Source organism: Homo sapiens, chromosome 5, assembly GCF_000001405.40.
Source record: "Homo sapiens chromosome 5, GRCh38.p14 Primary Assembly".
In the NCBI taxonomy this organism is placed as follows: Eukaryota; Metazoa; Chordata; class Mammalia; order Primates; family Hominidae; genus Homo; species Homo sapiens.
In genome coordinates, this window is record NC_000005.10 from 107,812,068 (window position 1) to 107,834,798 (window position 22,731).

Here is a 22,731-nt window from a genome sequence, read left to right on the forward strand (position 1 = left end):
TTTCTAATTTCTTTAACTCCATGGAAAATCCTTCCTGAATTCTCCGCAACTCTCTGTGGTGTTTACTAAGTGAAATAACTTAGTGCCCTCCACAGCCTTCACTAACTTAGTATCCATTCGCTCTTCCAAATCAATAATAAACACATTAAATAACATTGGTCCCCATACAGACCCCAAATGCACCACACTATTAACCTCTCTCCACTCCAGGAAACCAGCAGTCACTCTGTCTCCCACGGCTTAGCTGGTTTTGTAGAAATCTCCAGCCTTTGACTGCTCCTGCCCAGCTGAAAGAAGGGTCTAACTCCACTTCTGCTCTTTCCTGGTTAACACTGCAGGGCTCTCTGGTGGAAGCCTGCACCCCTGGGGCAGTGGCTGCAGGTAACACTAGTCTATTTGATGGGAGGCCTAAGAGTTTCAGCAAGGAAGGAAAGCAAGATGGAAAAAAGTTTATTGTTCTTACTGAAAACCCAATTGCACTGCCATTTTTCAATTCCATTGAGAAATGTCAATGTTCTTTCCCACCGTCTGGCGGAGGCAGATTTGACCAGGTGTCTCCACACAGAGTGGGTTCTCACAGTTGGGCTGCGTGTGTGTCATAAAGCTAAATAAGGAGCCAGTTCAGTCCGCCACCCCCCTTCGCTTCTGCCGGCCAGACACACTTCCCCATATGACAGTCTTATAAATAGCTGCTAAGCAGCTGGTCCTCCTCTCACCTCCTGACTCTGTCAGAATCCCCCACTAGAAGCCCCTGACAGTCATGCAGCTGGGAGCTCCCCTTTTCTCTTCTTCTCTCCTCTCCACTCCCTACCTCTGACATATGGCCGCCACCTCAACAATGCCCACTGAAACCAGCCAGGGACTGACTTCCATGGGAGAAGGGATCAAGCAGGCTGAGGGCTGGATCTGACCACTGAAGCAAACTGTCACCCAAGTAAACAGGGGAATGGAAGGTTGGGAGACACCACAGTGAGACACCAGGCAGCCCACAGTACAGCGGCCAGATGGCTGACCCAGCAAAAATCCCAGGAATCTTTCTGGAGTGAGTCAAACATTATAAATATCTGTGGGACTCCGTGATGCTTCTAACTATATATGTACATATTCGAAAATAGTTTTGGACAAATAAATATAGGATGAAATGTATTATTATTAACTTTTACAAAGTTCCAACAATGTGTTCAGAGTTCAAATGAGGGTAGGATTTAGGATAAAGAAAATACAGGAAACAATTAAAGATTTGGAAGCCAATACATGATAAGAAGATAACAAAACAGAAATGGTGCTTTGTTTCTAAATATTGTTGGTTTTCATGAAAGAAGAAGCTCTAGCTGATAGGGTATTATAGCTGCAGGTATGGGCAGAGAGAGTCAAGTCAATTTCACAGGAACTTATTGAGTGCCCACTATGTGCTAGGCACAGGGAATGCAGAGTTATCCCCAGCCTTGATCAGCCCAGACAAGTAGAAGGCCAGTAGATGTTATAGAAGGTGGAAAGGTCAATTTTGCTTTTGGGGTAGAGAGTCGTGGAAGTCTACAGAGAGGACACAGGACAATCTAGGCTGTAGGAATAGCAGGAGTTCAGGCAAGAAGATGCCCACGTTCCCACAGGTCTAAGAAACAGTGGACAGGTCCCCCTGGCATAGCAGGTATAGTGTGGGAGGCGGGGACCTGCTCAAGCATGCTGGAGTGGGCATGCGGCTTGGGGAAGAGGACTTAGACATGAGAAAATGAAACCATTGAACAAAGTGTGCAGTAACCACAAGCTAATGCTGAAATTTCAGATCTCAGTTGTCACCTAAAGAACTCACCCCTTCTTGGTTCTCCTCACATAGGCTATTCTGAAAGTTTATTTTTATTTATTTATTGAGACAGAGTCTCACTCCATCACCAGGCTGGAGTGCAGTGCACTATGTTGGCTCACTGCAACCTCTGCCTCCCAGGTTCAAGCGATTCTTGTGCCTCAGCCTCCCATGTAGTTGGGACAATAGGCACCTGCCGTCAAGCCTGGCTAATTTTTGTATTTTTAGTAGAGAAGGGGTTTCTCCATGTTGACCAGGCTGGTCTCGAACTCCTGGTCTCAAGTGATCCACCCACCTCAGCCTCCCAAAGTGTTGGAATTAGGCATGACCCACCACACGCGGCCTAATCCGAATGTTCAAATAGATCATAGTTTAAATCTCCTATCAAAGAGTCATCCTTGAACCATGGACCCCTCAAGCATTTCCCAACATGCCCGCACATTTCACAGGAAGTGCATAGTTGTAGCTGCCACTGAGGGACCCTGCACAAAGTGTTCCAAAGTTCTGCCCTGGCAGTGCTGGACCTGGACCCCCTCCAGGGTTAACACCACCATCTGGATATTTCACCGGCAGTGCTGAAGCCAGAGGGCATGGAGGACACAGACCACCAGAGATAGTTAGTGGTTTCCTTTGGGAAAGATCAGGGCTTGAGTCCTGAGGCTGGGGAGGGGCAGCCTCAGTCTTTGAGGATTTAGTGGGGCCCAGCAGGGATTTGGCAGACAGGGCTGGACAGAAGCTGAGTATGCTTTCTTCTGAGGTCAGCCAAATCATCACACTCTCAGGGACACCTTCCCCAGCCCTTTATTACATATTCTGATGGAACTGTGAACCTTTTCTGCATACTACCATTGTCACTGTATGGTTGTTAATTGACATCTGTTCTCTTCTCCTAGAGCACAATCCGCAGATTGGCTTTGCTCTCTGTTGAATCCCCTGTTTCCAGCACCCTGCTGGGCACGCACTAGACACTCAGGAAGTAACTGTTTCTTGAAGGATTATCAGAGCTAATGTTTATTGAGAATTTTGTATTCTACCATTTAATCCTCAACAACCACTTGTGAAATAAGTAATATTAATTAATCCCATTTTACAGATGAGTAAACGGAGACTCAAAGGATTAAGTGACTTGCCAAATGCTAATGAGTGGTGGAGTGGGGCTTGAACTCTGGTAGTCTGACTGTTGAGTCTGGGAGAGGCCATGTGGCAGGTCTGGTGGCAGAAGAGGAACCAGAGTGGCCCAGAATAAGGAAGGCAGAGAAAGTGGTGGCTCTGGGGGCAGGGATGTGGGGAGATCCTTTCTCCCATTTAAGCTTACGGGACCCAGATTTCTGGCATCACTGCTAGATCGCCTCTGCTTCAGCTGTTCAGGGAGTATTTTAGCGAGTGAATGAGTCTGGACATCCTTAACAGATGCTGCCCGCCCACGTGGACTGGTCTTCCAGCCGCTCACTGCTGAGCTGAAGCTGTTGAACGTTTCCTCAGGCATCCCCTCCACAGCAGGGCCTTCCAGCAAACCCGCAGGCTTCCTGGGTGCTGCCTTGACCTAGGTCCTGTTCTCAGGAGCTTCTCCACGACAGGCGAGAGGCCAGGTGCTGGGCTAGTTCCTAGGACATTGAGGTGATGACATTAACTAAGGCTGTCTCCACAAGCTTAAGTCAGAAGTGTCCCAAAACCTGGGGGCCTGGGAATTCAAATGGTCCCCAGCAAGTCTGATTCTTTCTCCATCTCAAAGCTATTCTGTTACCCTTAAGTCTTACTTTGACACCACATGGACAGTAATTTGTGATGTTCTGAAAGTCGGAATGGCTTCCTCGGTGTAGCTTTCTAAAATGAACTGAACTTCAACCTGTGCTAAGCACTCTACATGCATTCATTTCATCCTCACGGTTTTACAGACAAATCAACCAAGCCTCAGAGGGGCGAAGGCGCTTACTCAATGTCACTCAGGGAGTGAATGGTGAAGCTGGAGTGAGAGTCTAGATCTTTCTTAATGTAGAGTCAAAGATCCTGGCAACCAGCGTATCCTGGGGTAATAGCCCATTATGGCTGCCAGGATACTATATGTATAATTTTTTATATTTTTGGCATTGAGAATAAGATTTTTGAACAGTCAAATCTATCACCTGAAATGTCGTGAGGAGTTAATGTGAAGATTTCTTTCTTAATCAACAATTTGATTGTTTAATGGCCTTATTATTTTTTTAGAAAATAAGACTCAGACTACATATCTCATCTTGGTCTGCAATACTAATTCTAGGATGCCTCAACTTTAGTTCTTAGAGCAAAATGCAAGGGCAAAAATGGGAAGTAACACTGTCTGAATGGTATCATTTGGGGATTTTTTTTCTTTGTGATGCTCATAATCGAACAACAGCTTTTGTCTAAAAAATTAAATGTGACAAGAAATTAATCCACATTGTGATCTAATTATTTTTAGAATTATGAGAAAAATGTAAGGTGTCTCAACTATTTAATTTTGAAAAGTGTCTATGGAAATTAACTTTCACTGCCTTTCATAAGGATTTTAGTTTTCTTGCCATCCTTAAATGGCATTTTCAACAATCACTAATATGGCTATTGCTGTCACGTAAGGTCACTGGCATGTGAGGTAGGGTTTCTTGCAAAGCCTGACTTTAAAGAACATGTGACGTATCATGCTCTAGACTACTTTAAAGTGTAATTTATCAAATTAATGAATTAGAATTCAGGGGCTAATCAAAGAACCAACCAGTTTCTTAATTTTCTTTACATCTCTGAAGAATCAACCGTTAAGCAGGAATGAACACCAAACACAGGGAGATTTCTGGTGGTACGTTAAAAGCAAACATCACTCTGACCCTTGAAAATGAGATTAGAATAAGACCAAAAATAATGGAAAAGTGGTTACTGAATGAAAAATATTTGGGGAAAAATGAGTTCACAATTGTGACATTTTAATAAAAAGGTTTTGGCGATGCTAAGGTCCACCCACCAGTCCCATATGTTCAGGCTATTGTGACCTGAATTCTGATTACTGAAGTTGATCTTCTGGGAAAAGGTGTTGGATCCAGAAGGCACTGATCAAACTCAAGAATATAATCTGGAAAGGAACCTGCTTAAGTGGTCTACTCTTAGGAAAGGGATATTTACTATAGAGAGAGCAAGTTGTAGGTGAACTCCAAACTTGGCACCAAAAGTAGTAGAAATTCTGCTGTGGGGTAAGAATGAGGGGAAAGTAAAGGGAAAGGAAGAAGGCACGTGGCCTTAATAAGAGGCGTGCCACAGTGAGCTGTCAATGGAAAGTTTTGGATTCCCAGTGCTGTGAAAGGAAAGGAAGGAGCTCCAGAGATGGAGGTGGGGAAGCCCAGGAGATGCTCTGTTTTATTTACCTGGCAATTCTGTGGACCCCTCGATCACTCTAGATCCTAAGTTCAATGGGAGCACATGGCTATCTGTAATTCTAAACATCCATTCTCCTGAACAACGCCCTTAAACCCCAGGGAAACACTTGTTCACATCTCTTGCCCTAGGTCCTCAAAACAAATGGTGACTACATCCAAATGCCATGAAGCTATATGGGGTGTCATCTGCTAAGGTGGGAGATGGAGGGGATGGACTCCGCCTCAGAATACAGGGAGGATTTCATCAGCAGAAGTGCTTAGGTAAGAACAAGGACAAATTAATTAACTTGTCATATTCTTCCTCTCACAAAGCATGAATGCTGTGGATTCTTGCATAACAAAGCACCGTTTCCCTGTGGTGCCAAATGTCCATTTGCTTGCTTCTCTTCTTTCTCCAATTGGGGGTCCCAAAGGTACACAACATATTAACATGACAGTCCCAACAGTTACACATAGCTGCTAATGGAAATCACTCTGAAGTGTGTATCTATACATAGGTCTGTATGCAACGTGAGTGAAGCATGATACTGATTCTTTACAGACAGCTAGATAGACATTCAATGCTAGAGCTGCAGGGCTTTTTAAAATAAAAATGTACATGTTTACAAAACTAAATATCTGGACTTTATTAGAATATTCTTTATTTTAAAAATTGACATTTATTAATTATAATTTATATTTTGCCTTTTAATTTTAAGAGATCATTTTGAATATTTCAAAAGAAAATTTTTCATATTGTGGTAAAAAACACATAGCATAAAATTTACCATCTTAATCATTTTTAAGCATATAGTACTTTTTAAGGTATAGTGGTAACTATATGCACCTTGCTATACAACAGATCTCTAGAACTTTTTCATCTCACAAAACTGAAACTCTATACCCCTCGAACAACAACTCCTCTCCCTCCCCCACGCTCCTGGCAACCACATTCTACTTTCTGTTAAAGAAAATTGGTTTAGAAAACATATGACACTTTTAATTTATTTTTAAGCATTAATTTACATTTTGATGAAAATAAATTCAAATTTTGTATATATGTATTTGAATATAATTGTATCTTAATATTTTAACTCTTTAGACATTAGTCTCAATAGAGCACAAATTGTATGAAAAATGTTGAATATAATATCTTAAGTAGTGATTTCATTGAAATGAAGGAAAAAATAAATTTTATGGAATGAATCTATAATAGTTCATGAATTATGTATGTCTATTTTGTTACTCATTTAAACATCTCCAGCTTTTCAACAAAATACCCACACATATGCAATAACAATTAGTCATTTTTGACATTTTGCTAACTTTAACTCATAGAAAGGCCATACTTTCACTCATACTTTTCAATTTGTCTCAATGAAATATAATTGTCAAGGAAGGAAAATAGAACATATTTTTTTAACAGTTTATTAGCTTTAAACATTTAGGCATATGCTATGTGGGCTATTTGTACTCTTGTCCTGGCCCCCAAAATATAAGTATGGCTGACTGCAATTGCGTGTTAATTGTCTGTCTTTACCGTGTTACTTACCATAAATTTTGAAGGGACAATGTTTGTTTTGTCTATCATTGTATCTCTAGTGTTTGGTATAATTAATCCTCAAAGAAATGTCTGAATGTCATTGAAGTCACCTTCATTGATGACAACTAACTGAGCTGTGAAGTGTTGGCCACTATTCTATCTATGCTCTGAAGAAGCAAAGGTGAATAAGACAGGGTTCCCACTCACAAAAAGCTTGTCATTTAATTGAGAAAGCAGACCAGGCCTATAGAAGGGGCTTTAAAGTAGGAATTTTATTCATATAGATACAAACTAAGTGCGACAGGCAGTAAGTCTTGCTAAATTCCAGACCCCATTTGTAATATGGTGATAATAGTAGGACCTACCTCGCAGGGTTGTTTTGAAGATTATAAAAGATAATTCATGTGAAGCACTTAGCACTAGGCTGGCACTAGTATTATTCACTCAATAGTGATAGATGGTGGTGATAATACAAGTAGTAGTAATTGTAACAATAGTAGTGGTCGTGGAAGTGGTATTAGTGGTAGTCATAATAGTAGTGATGGTAACTGGTGTAAAGTTTAATAGTAAACAGTGTTTATGGGTTCAGATGGTCAGGGAAGACATCATGAAGGAAAATATAGAGGTATTAGAGAGTTGAAGGTACTTCAATGAATGTATTTTTGAAAAGATGTTTCAAGGAGTCTATACTGGATACAAAAACAATGGAAGAAGGTAGAGCAGAGGAACCCATAGGTCAGTGGATGGATCAGTTGGAAATGGGGCAGGGTCATATAGCCAAATGATCTAGTTCATGATGGAACTGACTCAGAGAGAAAGGAGGTGGGGCTGTTATGGTCAAGTAGAAGCAGAAGCAAAGAAGACCTGACATCTCCTGCTACCCATGAAGCATATTGGATGGGATAGAGTAAGGGTCAGACACACAAGGGCTGCAGCCTTGGGGAAGACCCAGGTGTCAATTCAAAAAAAGAGCTAACAAGAGCACCCCGAGAAAAGAGTATAGATCTGGTTTGCTGGGACATGGCAAGTCCAAGCAGCCAGGTAAAAGCATTGATGGTGCTGGGTTGAGATCAGGAACCTGGATCAGGAGCAAGGAAGAAAACAACCTCACCAGGGGTGGTAGAGCAGTTAAGGAGGATGTGAAGGTCTAAGTTTGTGGAGAATCCATGCACAATGGGGCTTATGCTTGCTGCACCAACTGATGAAAACAGGGAGGAGAGGTATTAAGATTTTATTTTCACCAGTTTCCTTGGAAAGGATAATATATCATCCCAATCCTGTCACCAAACATGTGTGGACTTAGATAAGTGACTCAACTTTCTGTATTTGTTTCTTCATTGAAAATATAAACTCAAAAGTACTTGCTTTGTGTGTCTGTAAAAATAAAATTATAAAGATTTGGAGGCTTGGAAAGGTACAAAACGCTTTGCAAATATAAGGGATGATTATGATATTCATATTTCAAGTCAGGGTGGGTTCCTAGTTCAAATATTCCAAATATACTAGTGTGGTAAATATGTAGAGGTGCATAGGGCAGCTTTAACTGCTTGCTGGGTTTTTGTGAGACACAAAGCATTGGTCCTAACAATAACCTCAACCATGGGCATGTTGCAAATCAAGCTGGAGAAGGATGGACATGAAGAAAGAAGAGAATGGAAGAGGAGAAAGAAGCAAGGCCAGACATTTGGAAGGTTCTGTGAAGTCAAAGAGCCAGTGTGGTGACAGGTGCTCCATAGAGAGGGGACTCTCCCTTCCCTAGTGGAGTCACGGCTCCATTACATGCCACACGACTCAGCAGTCTTGAGTAGAGAAACAAAGAATAACTCAACAGGATAGAAATTAAATTAGCAGCATGGAATAACTTGAGTCATATTTGAGTAGAACAGTGATATTATTTCCTGGGCTCTGGTGATATTTTTTCCCCAATCTTGGCTGTGGACAGCTTTAGTCATATATCTTTCCCGAAAGTTGTAGTTCACTGTAGTTTCTCACGTGTTCATGTATCACATTGAGTGTTGACAGGCTGGGCATTTAATTATCTGAGAACTGCTGTACTTTCTTTGCTTCTTGAATAATGAACTGGATTCTGTACCAAAGTGTGAGGTACTTACAGCTTCTTTTAGACACCTGGGACTCTGCCTTGGGTTGCACAGGGATTCAGTTATTCACATATACCCCAAGAGGGCAAGGGAAGCAATTATCTGGAGATTTCAAGAAAACCACTGACTCATCTTAATTACCTGGAGGTACGTAAAATCCCATTTCAACAAACTTTAACATGCTATCCTAATTACTTTGAATATTGAATATTGTTTGTAAGAAGTGAGTCATCATTTGGGTATCAGATCTCTATAGGCTGTTATTGTAATGGTGTCTGTTATAATCAGATTTAACCTGCTTAAATTACCTTAAAAAATGGTCTGAAATGATTACTTCATTTTTTTTAAGTATATAATCCACCTTGAGTAGAGATAAGCAGAAAATGCCCCTATCAATAATGTATTTGAGTTTGCAGAACATGAACTCTGCCACAGTCAAATTATGGTTCTAGCAAAACAATTTTTTTTCCAGATTTGCCTGAATGAAGGCAGCAGTGGGCTTGGGCTCCTGTGCCAGTCAGTTTTGCATTCTGGGTGGCTTGTTTAGATCAGCTTGCACACAGTGTAGTTCAACCGTATCTGAGCACTGCCTTTCCTTAGCCTGCCCTTTCACGTGGGATGATTATCTAGAGCTGCTTCATTTGCCAAGGTCATCACTCCAAGGGCCTAGCCCTTCCTCTGGTCATGTTAGGCACTACTACAAGGATATGAGGGCTTGTGACTTTACATTTTCACACGATCATAATGGCTTTAATTACTACAAGGCCACAAGAGGTAGAGCTTCCATTAAGAAACAGAAGAGCAACATCCAAAGTACTACTTGAAGGCCTAACATCGTGTCTCATGCACAGAGGGTGCTTGGATATTTACTAAGTAAAAGAGAATGTATCTAGGGCATGCCCCATTCTCAAACACAGCTGCTATAGAGCTCTCTGGAAAAAAAAAAAATTGCTTTACACAGAATTGTTGTTTGGCCCAACTTTCCTTTTCACTTCAAATCTTTGTTTTAAATGACCCAATTGCCATCATCATCTTGAGGCCTCATAGGCAGCTCAAACAACATTGCAAAAGGCCAGTGTGTTAGGTGTTCCCTACAATGGTTGCCAATGACCCTGCCTTCTGGTATTCATGCCCCTGAGAAGGCTGAACCTAGAGACTTTCTCCTAACAAATGGAGTATGACAAAAACTTATGGGATATGAATTCTGAGGCTAGATGCCCAAAGACTCTAGCATTTTTCTTGCTTGTCCTCTCTTGCTCTTTAACCCTCTCTGTCTCTCCCTAGTTTTCTTTTTCCTTCATTCTCTCTCTTTTTTTCTATTAGAGCCCTTGCTCCAGGGGAAGCCAGCTGCCGTGTTGTGAGTAGTTCTATGGAGAGGCCCATGTGACAAGGAACTCGTGTCTTGCCCAACATCCAATGAGAACCTGAGGCCTACCAGGAGCCATGCAATTGAGCTTGGAGGTGGGTCTTCTGAGGGCTCCCAACAGCCATGTGAGTCAGCTTAGGAGTGAACCCTCCCCCAGTCAAGCCTTCAGATGACTGCAGCCCTGATTGATACCTTGATTACAGACTTGTGAGAGACTCTGAGTCAGATATACCCAGCTAGGCCATGCCTGGACTCCCAATACACAAAAAGGAAGATAAGAAATGTTTGTTGTTTTAAGTTACTAAGTTCAGGGGTGATTTGTTACACAGCATAGATAGCTAATACAGCAGTCCTATGTTTTCTAGAGTATTATAACAATCTGATGAATGGTATCCTTGTTTCCTTTAACTTGCTTGCTACTTTTCCTTGCCAAAAATTCAATCGCTCTCACCTCACTGAAAAATATTTTATGATCCCTTATTACTCCAAAAGATAAATTCTGAAATGGAGCACAGAACATTCTAGGTCTTTGGTCATCTGGTACTTACCTAGAGCTTTTCAACCTATTTTCTATCTGTGTTCCCACTTCTTTTTTTTTTTCTTTAATAGGGTCTCAGTCTGTCACCTAAGCTACAGCACAGTGCCACCATCATGGCCTACTGTAGCCTCAACCTTCTGGGTTCAAGCAATCCTCCCACCTCAGCCTCCCTGGTAGCTGGATTACAGGCATGCACAAATATGTCCGGCTAATTCTTTTTTTTAATTTTTTGTGGAGACAGGGTTTTGCCATGTTGCCCAGGCTGGTCTCAAACTCCTGGACTTAAGCCATCTGTCTGCCTCAGTCTCCCAAAGTGCTAGGATTACAGGCGAGAGCCACCACAACTGGTGAGTGCTCAGACTTCTAAATGTCTTTATTCCAGCCACACCAAAGTACTTGCAATTGCCCAGCACACCACAATTTTTGTGTTCCTCTTTCTTGTCCTGGCTGTTTCCTCTCCCTGGAATGCCATTTCCACCTCACCTATGCTGGTGACATCCTGCAAAACTCTACCCATCCTTCTAGATTTAGGCTCCAACTTCCTTTCTGTAAAGCCTTCTCTGCTATAGATAAAGTGGGACACTCCCTCCTCTGTATTCCCATGGTTTTCTGATCCCACTCTACCATTCTCTCCTTGACTAGACCATGGATTTCTCACAGGTAGAAAAATATAATTCCTAGAGCATGATTATTAAAAGCAAAGGGTTAGGAGCCAACCCGACTAGGTTCAAAATCCTTTCCCTATCTCTTTACTTAGCTACGAGCCTTAGACAAGTTATTTAACCACTGATATGGTTTAGCTCTGTGTCTCCACCCAAATCTCATCTGGAATTGTAATCTCCACAAGTCAAGGGAGGGCTCTAGTGGGAGGTGATTGGACGATGGGGGCGGTTTTTCCCCTTCTGTTCTAATGATAGTGAGGGAGTTCTCACAAGAGCTGATGGTTTTAAAGTGTGGCACTTCCTTGTTCTCTCTCTCCTGCTGCCACGTAAGACATGCTTTGCTTCCCCTTCTCCTTCTGCTGTGATTGTAAGTTTCCTGAGGCCTCCCCAGCCATATGGAGCTGTGAGTCAATTAAAACTCGTTTCTTTATAAATTACCCAGTCTCAGGTAGCATCTTTGTAGCAGTGTGAGAACAGACTAACACAACAACTGAAGACTTAATTTTCTAATCTGTCAAATGAGAAGAATAATAGGACCCACGTACAGGGTCGTTTTGTAGTTAAATGAGATAATATGTGAAAAGTGCTCAGCACAGCCTGGCAATAAGAGTTAAATATATATTAACTATTATTATTTATAATTATAATCACAGAGATAAGCACATAGTAAAATTTCAATCACTGTTTCATGATTCTCTGAGAATTATTTGCATTTTCACTGGGGACAAAGGCATGTAAAGAAAAAGGTGTGACAATGGTAGAATTTCAGACATCACGGACACCTGTTTTGCCTTCTTCCAAGCTTGGCCCTGGGTATTAATATTAAAACAGATAATAAATTAACAGGTAGGAAAGAGAGCAGTGTTCATTTATTCACTGGACTCTTTGTCAAGAGTCTGGAAATGAGAAATTTTCCCCAAATGAAAGATTAATATTAATGTGATGAAGTGATTGTAATCTTGAGGATGAGAAACTGATTTCCATTTTTTTTTGAAAGGAAAAATTGCCAGAGAATCTATTCAAGGGGTTCACAGTCTTTGACAAGCCCTTTCAAGCAGCAGGATGCAGTGGAAGGGGCAGAGACTGAAGAGTCCAATGACCTGGGTTCTAGATCCAACACTGCCTCTACTAGTGTGTGCCTTAAGGCAGGACACACTCATGCCATCTGTAAATGGGGGATGGCAATATCCATTCTCCCTAATTCACAGCACCATAGGGAGGAGAAACTGAGATCACGAATGTGAAGACAATGTTTGAAAGTTTAAGAAAACAGAAATGCACGATGTATATATTTTCATGGTTTCCTATTTAAATAAGAAATAGCCAAGCATGTGTAAGGACAGCAATGGAAGATATAATTGATTCTGCTTATGTAAATGTGGTGTTTTTCTTATAAGCTTTCCAAAAAACTCAAAAGGAAGTCATAAGACTAAAAGTCATTTTAAGGAACTTTTTTTTTTTTTGGAGTAAAAGCAATTTTTCTTTTTTGGAACTAACAGAACACAATTAAAAGAAAAACTACCTGAGGGATCCAATATTTAACATGAAGAAACTAAGGATTACAAGCCAGGAGTTGGCTTCTTTACGTAGTGTTTGAGTCCTTGCAGATGTCCTTGGGCCAGGTGGACCAACTCCTAAACATTAGCAAGTATGTGTATTTCCCAGGAGCCTATTTAGAATCTGCTCATAGTTAGACTTAACTTGTCTTGGAAAGAACAACCCATCTGATCTTCAGAAACCTCTGCTATAAGCAGATATTTTTTAAAAAATCAAATGCAGAAGAGAACTCTAGGTAAACTAGGTAAACATGATTGTCCTTAAAGGGTATTTCATTTCAAAAGAGAAGAATAATGAAAGAAAATGGTAGATGACCAACATAGTCTACATATTAAACAAGGTCTCCCAATTCCAGCGGTTTCTTCTTTGGTAATCTCTCAGAGATAAAAATCACTCTTCACAATTTGAAACAAAGTAAATGGATGTTTGCAATGCTAAGAACCCCTGTGGAAATGAGGCGAAATAAGACAAGGCCTTCAGACCTGTGAGAAAAATCAATCTGATGGAAAATTGACAAACTTGTTTAACGTGGGGCACAAGAGCCAAGGGCTGACCCCAGAGGCCTCCTCTGAGACACCCAGTGAAGTTCCCGTCAGTTCCCTTAATCCATTCAATTACACAATAGCATCGCTAAGGGAACCTTTTTTTTTCTAGCCAAACATCACTTTAAATTAACTTTTTTGCCATTGTGTTTTAAATTCCAATTTCTTTCTCTTCATTCTTTCTCTACACTAAATTATTAAAATCACCAACTGCTCTACAATCAAAAATATTTCAGAAAGCAGTGATGCCAAATTTGGATTGACTAAAGTGAAATCAGACAGAAGGAAAGATATTTTGAACATTTCTACACTTGGTGCATTGTTTAAAGATATGGCAACAAGTAATTAAAATGGACTACTTGGCTTTTCCCCACAAAACCAACCTGGTGTTTGGCCCCATTACAGCCTAATTCAGACCAGAGATACAGCTGAGTGAAGTGAAACACACCAATATATTTACAAATAGACTGATTTTTTTTCTTCATCTATACCATGTTCCTTTTTTATGTAAAAAAAGTTAAGCTACACTAAAATGAAAAAATAAGTAAAATAAGCCTTTTATTTGGAAAGTCAGAATGAAAAGGCAAAGTGGACTAACTTTTAGAACTAGAGAAAGGAAGGACTTGATTTATTTTTAAAGAGCAGATTTTACTCAAAATGTCGCATCAACGGACTTGCACATGGAAGTGGCCATCTAAATTCTGACAATTTTCTTTTCATTTACCATCATCTACACATGACACAAATAAAAGTGTATGCACAGCCTCACAGAGGAAACTGAATTACACTCCACCTTTACACACAAACACACCTCAGCCATGGGCCTTGTTTTCTGATGGGTGATATGCCCTTGAGCAGACTATCTCCAGGCCAGCGTTAATACTCAACACCTGTCAGCTCATGGCTTCTCCTTATTACACTGCATTCATTTCAACGGCTGAATTCAAACAATTGTCACAGCGCCTGGTGCTAAAGATGCAAAGATAGTCCCTGCTCTTTAAAAGCTGGTGGAATAGTGAGTCCCTTAACATTCCTTCACAGCAGGACCCTGAATTCCAGGCAGCACTAAGCAGAATATTTGTTAAATAGGTGCATCCTCAACCAACAAATTGGCTTTATTTTAAAAAGAAATAAAGAGGTGGGTCAGGTGCTAATTATTTGATTGGAAATCAATTCACTCTTTTCCCTGTGAAAGAAAATGTGCCAGGCATGGTGGCTCATGCCTGTAATTCCAACACTTCGAGAGGCAGACAGGAGGATTGCTTGAAGCCAGGAGTTTGAGACCAGACTGGGCAACAGAGCAAGGCCCCATCTCTACAAAAAATAATAAAAATTAATCAGGCATGGTAGCACGCACTTGTAGTCCCAGCTACTTGTGAGGCTGAGACAGGAGGATTGCTTGAGCCCAGGAGGTCAAAGCTGCAGTGAGCCATAATTACGCCACTGCATTCCAGCCTGAGTGACAGAGCAAGACACTGTCTAAAAAAGAGAAAGAAGATGAAAGAAAGAAAGAAAGAAAGAAAGAAAGAAAGAAAGAAAGAAAGAAAGAAAGAAAAGGAAGGAAGGAAGGAAAGAAAGAAAGAAAGAAGAAAGAAAAGAAAGGAAGGAAAGAAAGAAAGAAAAGAAAGAAAGAAAGAAAGAAAGAAAGAAAGAAAGAAAGAAAGAAAGAAAAGAAAGAAAGAAAAGAAAGAAAGAAAGAAAGAAAGAAAGAAAGAAAGAAAAGAAAGAAAGAAAAGAAAAGAAAGAAAAGAAAGAAAAGAAAAGAAAGGAAAAGAAAGGAAGGAAGGAAAGAAAGAAAAAGAAAGCAGAAAGGAAGGAAGGAAGGAAAGAAGGAAGGAAGGAAGGAAAGAAAGAAAGAAGAAAGAAAAGAAAGGAAGGAAAGAAAGAAAGAAAAGAAAGAAAGAAAGAAAGAAAGAAAGAAAGAAAAGAAAGAAAGAAAAGAAAGAAAAGAAAGAAAAGAAAGGAAAAGAAAGGAAGGAAGGAAAGAAAGAAAAAGAAAGCAGAAAGGAAGGAAGGAAGGAAAGAAGGAAGGAAGGAAGGAAAGGGAAGGGAAGGAAGGGAAGGAAGGAAGATGAGTAAAGGAAAAAAAGAAAAGTTTCCCATGGTGGTGGTAGTTACAAGCCTGGACATATGAAAGCCTGTTTAACTCCTAACGTGGTCGCAATTCCCTACAATGGTAAAGAAAAGTTCAAAGGTAATTGCATTGTTGTAAATATGTACCATTTCAGATATGAGTTTCATGTTTTAAAAAATCTGTACTAACTTTCAGAGTATAAAAAACACTTTCAAATATTACCTTGTTTCATCTCGTGAGAAAATGGACTTATTGATCTTGGTTTTTATAAGTTAGGAAACCAGGCTTGGTGGGGATTGTGGGGGTGTGGGGGGGGTTGCAAGCAACTCCCTAGGGATCAGCTGGTTAAGAAGTAGTGGTTCAGGGACAGGAACTCGGGCTTCTGGCACAGGAGCCCATGTTATTCCTTCTACCTGAGACTGTCTCAGAATATCTCTGGGGTAATTCAAGTGACGTGCCAAAGCATTGAATTTTATTTAAAATTAGAAAAAAAAAGGTCACCTTGAATTTTCCTATGTTTCTGGGATATTTGGTTTCTTCCTTGGGACTTTGAGAGTAAATCTACCTCAGAGAAGAATAAATTTATCCTGAAGCAGTTTTTCTGGCAGTGGATGAGAAGCTCATTAACCATATATTATTACTAAGTTTATTAGTTCTTGGTTCTATTTATTTGTAATAACCATTTAAAAAAAAGTTTCCCCTTTAAGTGGCCAGTTTGGAAACCAACATAATAATTAATCAGAAAAGAGAGAAGGGAACTGCTGCTAAAATACAAAGATAAGCTTGTAAAGATTGGTCCTGCTTAGTTTGGACATAAGTCATCTAAGGGGTTTTTTTGTTTGGTTGGCTGGCTGGTTTAAATGAAAGAGTAAAAACATCTCAAGGCACTTATTAAGGCATTAGTTATACAAAATTTACATATTTTACCAAGAATTTTATTTAAAAGATTAGATCTTCAAGAAAATTAGACTGAAGTCAATTGTATTTTTTTCCCAAGGGACCAAGGAGTCTAAAGGGACCAAAAGCATCACCAAAAACATGGCACTTGCAAGAACCGATTTTAAAGTTAAAACACCTGAATTTTAGTCCCATGCTGAAGGGAAACAAACAAAGGCATTTATACTCCAAGTTGTTAGACTGAGTGTTAGAAGTGAATGTGTTTGTGTCTGGTTGCATAAATGCATTATCTCCAGCTATTTCTAAGTTCACAATATGTCCTCTGTATGAAGATTTACCCTTGCCCCCTCTGCCCGACTCCGCATCACTTATAATATATACATAGTTTATTATTGTACCATGCAATGATGACATATTACTTTTACTTTGTGAGTTGAATATTGCACTTTGCCACATGTTACCAAGCTGTAAGCTTTTGTTAGCTCTCGTGGGAAATTTGTGATGGTGTGAAGTGAACTCCTGTCACCATTCCATGGATTGCAAAAATGGTATAGCTCTTGCCAAAGACCTGGATCATATCTTGAAAGATTGCCTGATCAAATCAATATCTTCAACAAGGTTGGTTGTAGCCAACCATTTTTCAATGTGTGAAATCGATATAGTTTGTTTAAGAATGGATGGTTGGCCATCTTCTTCCATTGTATTCCTTCTAACTAATCTTATGGCATGGATTTTTGTAAATATAAAGAACACAAGGTAAGTATACCCAAACACCTTTCTTGGCACCCTGTGGATAATGAACTGACCACAATTAAGTATTATTGCAAAAAGAGGATGTTTTGGTGTCCTGCTGACCTAAATTCAAGTCCAGGTCTGTTGCTAAGTAGACATGTAACTTTGGGCAAGTTACTTAACCCTCCTGAGTCTTAGTTTCCTTCTAGGCAAAATAGAGGTTATAATGTCTGCATCACAGGTTTAAGAAGTACCAGGCATGTAGCAGAAACCTTCTAAATATTAATTTACTATTTTATTCCCTCCTAGATACCATTCTCTTTTCTGCTCCATAGTCTACCAACTTTGTATCTTTATATTATCCCCTTCTTAAATATGTCTTTACATTTATATAGGTGTTCGTGCATATATGTGGATTTATGTCTTTATTTGCACAATGTTGAATATTGAGCTCTACATTGATATTTGCTGTCATTACCTTTAATAATTTCAAAATAATCTTCCTTTTTATATAGCTATTTTTATTTCCAGTTGGTATAGTCAATAAAAAGAAATATTCCTTTTACAGTGGGATTGTTGACTCCAAAATCTGTAAAAGGAACTTATAATTAAAAAGGAAGTTTAAATGAGTAGCAACATGCTGAAAAATTAACCATATGAAAAATAGTGTTTTTCAGGCACTCATTTACACATTAAGGAAAATTGAATTCTAAATGGGAAAGATTAAAAAGAAAATACCTTTAGAGGATGTGTTAGAGAAAAGAAAGATAACAAAATCATACTGAATGTTACACTCCATTTTTATATAAATTTTGCCCTCAGATTATACCAAGAAGAACAAGGGCAGCAGAGAACAAGTTAGGAAGAGATCTGGTATTCACCACCATATTGGTAATATGGTCTTAGAGAGTGCTTGAAGTCCTTTGCCTAAGTTAAGACATTATAACACAACTATTTCAAAAAGAAGAAATAAACATCAGTGTGCTTAAAAGTAGCCATATTTGGAAAACTAACGCTAAATTTCACAGAGTTTGCTGGAGTTCTTCATTCTGATATATTGCTTCACTTTACCCTTAGCAAGCAGGCATTAGGAGCTGCAAATGTGGGGACTTTTCAAGGAGAGATTTTTGCATACTATGCTATTTTATCTTTGTGGTAGAATAATATCTTTGAAATATTAATGTGTTTTATACTCATTCAAGCAGCTGGGCCACTTTAGGGTCATTCTACAGGGGAAGAATGCTATGTAGGGTGGAAAGCAAAATTGCGTTCCTGGATTTTGTCTTCCAAAACCCTTGGCTCTTGAATCTCCCTAGAAGATAAAGTGACAAAAATTTTGAGAGCTGGCGATTGAATGGGAAAATGAAGAAATTCATTCCTCTCTACCTTTAACTCACCAGACTAGAAAAAAATTTCCTGGGCTTGGGAAGATGAAAGAGAGACAAGAAGAATCCATGAGCTCATAGATGGTTAGAAGTGTCTTCCGAATAGAAGTATCTCTAACTCTGCCTTCTGTGCTGAGCCCCGTGGAAGCAGGAAAACCCAAAGTGCTTTCCAAAATCCGATACCACAGGGCCCCTGTGCCTTTCCCAAAGGGATGAAATGGCTCTACAGTGAATCTGGGCAGATGGGGAAGTACTCATGACCATCTTCTGGAGATTTTCATGGTTCAGCAGGACATGTGGCATCAAAGGATCAAAATGATGACTCATCAAGCATGGCCCTGGTAAGCTGAGAGAGATGTTTGGCCTCGGGGTCCAGGTGAACAGGAGCAAAGAACTGAGGACACAGGCAGAAGGGCTGGTAGACTACTAAGCCGAAACCTGAGTGGCAGATACTCTGCGATCAAAAGTATCGCCTCCCATACCCCCTTCCACACTCCTCCTCTCCCCTCTGTAAGTGCCTGCACAGCAAATGCCATCCCAGAGAGAGAGGTGAGGGGGAACCCTGGATCAACAGAGGGTACACTTCCTCTACCTCAGCAGAGTCAGGGCTGAATATAAATTAGCCAGAGTCAGAGAAAAATAAACTATTGTAGTTATTGCACAGCTGATTTGTGATATGCATTCTTATGAAATCCTAATCAAAAGTCCAGAGATAAAAACCAAACCGCCTGCCTGAGAGAGAATGGCCGGAACAAGGACAAGGCAACACGGTCTCCTATAGTCGGAATTGCATCCTCCTCCCTGTCATCCCAAGTCTCACTTCCAGTTCTGTTTAAGTTTTGAAGCTGAGAGAAAAGAAGAAATGTCAGAGGGAATTGGGGCCTTTAATATTGTGCACCACAGTTAGCTCTTGAAGCAGAGTCACTCTGCTGCGGTGTTTAAAAATGAAGTACAGTTCTCAACTCTCAGTGCCTCACATTCAGGAACTTCAGTAACAAATTCCTTTCACATTTGTTCCAAAGACTCTCCTTATACCTGAGGGTGAAGCTCTGGGTTTTTTAAGTGTTCAAATGCCGTGTTTAGAGACGGGACAAAGTTTTCATTCCAAAGCAGTAGCAATGGAGAATGATGCCTGAGGCACATCAAGGTTTTCTTGCCAGATCCCAAGCAGCGTCGGTGGGGGGCGCCTAGAAGGTAGCCTCAGAAGAGTGGGGGACTCAGACTCTCTGGAGCCAGGGAGAACCTGACTCCAAAGCAGAGACCCTCTGCTCTTTAAAACTTTGAACTGTTGAGCCAAAAATTTCCATGATACTGAATCACAGTCGAGTGGGCTTTATTTTACAATATGGCATGGGTGTCGGTCACTAATGCTGAAAGAAGCTGACAGATGAGCCATCTGTATCCCAGGAAGGAAATAGGGCTGGCTGGATTTTAAGCAAAAACCTTGTGATGACAAAAACAAATACGTTAAGGGCTGGTCAAGGGCAAGTCAATAAATAAAGAGGGAAAGACAGCCTCCCTGGTGTGGCTGCCAGAGGTTAAGATTGATTGCTTTGCGTGTGTTGTGAGAGAAGTTGCATGTGATGCACTTCATATTTGTGCTTCTAATCACACCACTTCTGGCTTACAGAGAGAGGACTCTGATCCTGGATGCGTAATGCCAAGCCTCGGCACGGAAGGGAAATGTCTTCCTTCTGGATGGCCTCCTTTCAATTTTCGGTCACAATGAAATTACTTGTCTTCTTTTGTGATTCAGAGTGTGGGAAGGAAGATGATAAGAGCATCTACTGAGGTCTGCAGGGTCCTCTTCAGCCTGTAAGTAGTATAGAAGGTGTAGATCCACCTGGTAATATTTCAGGGACACCTGGAAGGTTCCTTGCCTGCCTCTTCCAATTGCTCCCAGGTGCTCAAAACTCTTTTAAATAAATGCAATCTTTCTTTCCACTGTCAGACAGAAAGAATCTCTTAGGTGTAAATGACTGATACCAGATTCTTTCCCAGGGATAGATTTTGATGAAAGGAAAATAGGAGACAGCGTGGAGTTATTATTGACAGCTTTAGAGAAGGGAGGGGGATGCCGTGTTGGGGGAATAATTAAAAAAAGGGAAGGGTGAGGTTCCCAAAATTGGTCGCTTTACAATTTTTGCATAGGGCAAAACTTATCCAAAGGTAATGAAATGGCTTTGCTGAGCTATGTGGAGGTGTCATTCAGAATAACCTGCTGGTTGAGAATTCTTATATATTCCACATTATTAACAATGATGTAGGCAGAACTCCCATGAAAACACTGAAAAACATTTGACCTTTTCCAGCTCTGGCTTTCTAGGTGATTCAGCCTTCAAGTAAAACACAATCCTAATACTGGTCCAGCAGAACTCACTGCTGAGTGTGGAGGTCAGTGTGCAGACACCAACAGAATCTCCTTGAAACTTTTACAAATGAAGGGTCCCAAAATGTTTAGTCAGTAAGTCTTTTCATCATTAACATCGATTCCCTCGGAATTACAGATTTAACATGATTCCAATAAAAGCATGAGTGTCCTAGTCTGGACCTAAACGAGCTGATTTTCAAGTTCATATGGAAAAATAAACAAGCAAAATAACCTGGAAATTCCTAAAGAACAATTGGCAAGAGCAGGGGTATTAGAGCTCAGCTCTAGTAGATATTAGAACATACTAATAAAACCTAAATATTTAAAGACTGTGGTGTGCCATATCAGTAAACCATTGAAACAGAAAAGAAAAATAAAATACACATAGAATTCAGCATGCGATAGAGATGGACTTTTTAATACAGGGCATTGAGACAACTGAGTATCATGTGATAAAGGATAAAATTGAATCCATACTTTTCACTATACAACAAGATCCATGTTTTAAATGTGAAAAGTAAAATCATAAAAGTACAAAGGAAACGCTTGAGAATTCTTTCATAATCTTGGTTTCAGGAAGGCCTTTCTAGCTATGACTAAAACTTCAGGATCCATAGAAAAAGAAATTAATAAATTCAATTACATTAAAAAAACTCCTTCTCAATGTAGAAAGAAAGTCAAAAGAGAAAAATAACTGCAGCTCATATACAGGCAAAGCACTAATTTATCTGTGGAAAGTACTCTTAGAAAAGAAAAAAGACTAACATCTAACAACCCAAATATAAAAATGAACCAAAGACATGAGCAAACAGTAGAAAAAGAAACACAAATGTCAAACATACATCAAGATTAGCAGTGTCACTCATTACAAGAAAAAAGCAAATTAAAACTATACGAAATGCCATTTCTCCCTAGGAGACTGACAAAATCCAAAAGTTGGACAACAGTTCCATTGGCAGGGCAGGAAAAGAGGTGCTGGCAGAGTGCAAAATGGGAGACTCCTGAGATAGGTATTGACAGTGACCTTCAGAATAACAACACACCTACCAGATCTCCACTTTCAGCTGTAATGGAGGAAGAGAAACTGAATTTACTATCTCTCGAGTCTTCACCTAAAGACTCTTCTGATCCATGAGTTCATCTCAGTTCTGGGTGCCTCTCCTGGTAGAAGCAACTTTACAGATTGTGGGTCTTTAAAGACTCATTTTCCACACAGCAGGCCCCGGAAACCCCAACCCGCCACTTCATTTGGTGTGCAACTTAAGAAATAACGATTGCATTGACTCTGAAGGCAAACTTGGCAGTGTTGGACTCAATGACAGATGTGTTCATCTCCAGCATAGTGACTTCCTAAGAGATTTTCAGAGGCTATTTTGACCCTCTGCTATTTTCACCTGGTGTAGACTTCAGCTCTGTGCAAAATACAAATCAAATGAAATGGCAAGAGTACTCAATGTTGAGTCAGGTGACTTACTGTAGGCTTTGGTCTGTCATATAATCTCTCTGGGTTTGTTTTCATCATTATAAAATGAAGTCACCCAACTATGTGATCTCTAAAACCCCCTTAGTTCTAGAATTCTATAAAAATTTCTGATAAGAATACATCGCAGTCACAAAGAATTTACAAGACTCCAAGATAAGGCATAATTACACTGGCTCTAAAATATATAGTTATGCTACTTAATTTTATGATGAGATTTAATTAACTCTCCCCTTCCACTGTCAGAAGCTGCAGTGGAACAATTGTCTTTGCAAGTCGTACAGAGCATTGGTGCCTTGGCTGGGCACTCTGGATCCCAATTTGC

At 40.1% G+C, this 22,731-nt stretch overlaps 3 annotated features.

The window, feature by feature from the left end:
- Window positions 390–499: an enhancer, noted in NCBI's record as "active region_22872". NCBI's record gives its function as "activates an Ori minimal core promoter by ATAC-STARR-seq in GM12878 lymphoblastoid cells {active_cell/tissue: GM12878}" and the evidence as "EXISTENCE:reporter gene assay evidence [ECO:0000049][PMID:35858748]".
- Window positions 600–699: an enhancer, noted in NCBI's record as "active region_22873". NCBI's record gives its function as "activates an Ori minimal core promoter by ATAC-STARR-seq in GM12878 lymphoblastoid cells {active_cell/tissue: GM12878}" and the evidence as "EXISTENCE:reporter gene assay evidence [ECO:0000049][PMID:35858748]".
- Window positions 1,417–1,616: an enhancer, noted in NCBI's record as "active region_22874". NCBI's record gives its function as "activates an Ori minimal core promoter by ATAC-STARR-seq in GM12878 lymphoblastoid cells {active_cell/tissue: GM12878}" and the evidence as "EXISTENCE:reporter gene assay evidence [ECO:0000049][PMID:35858748]".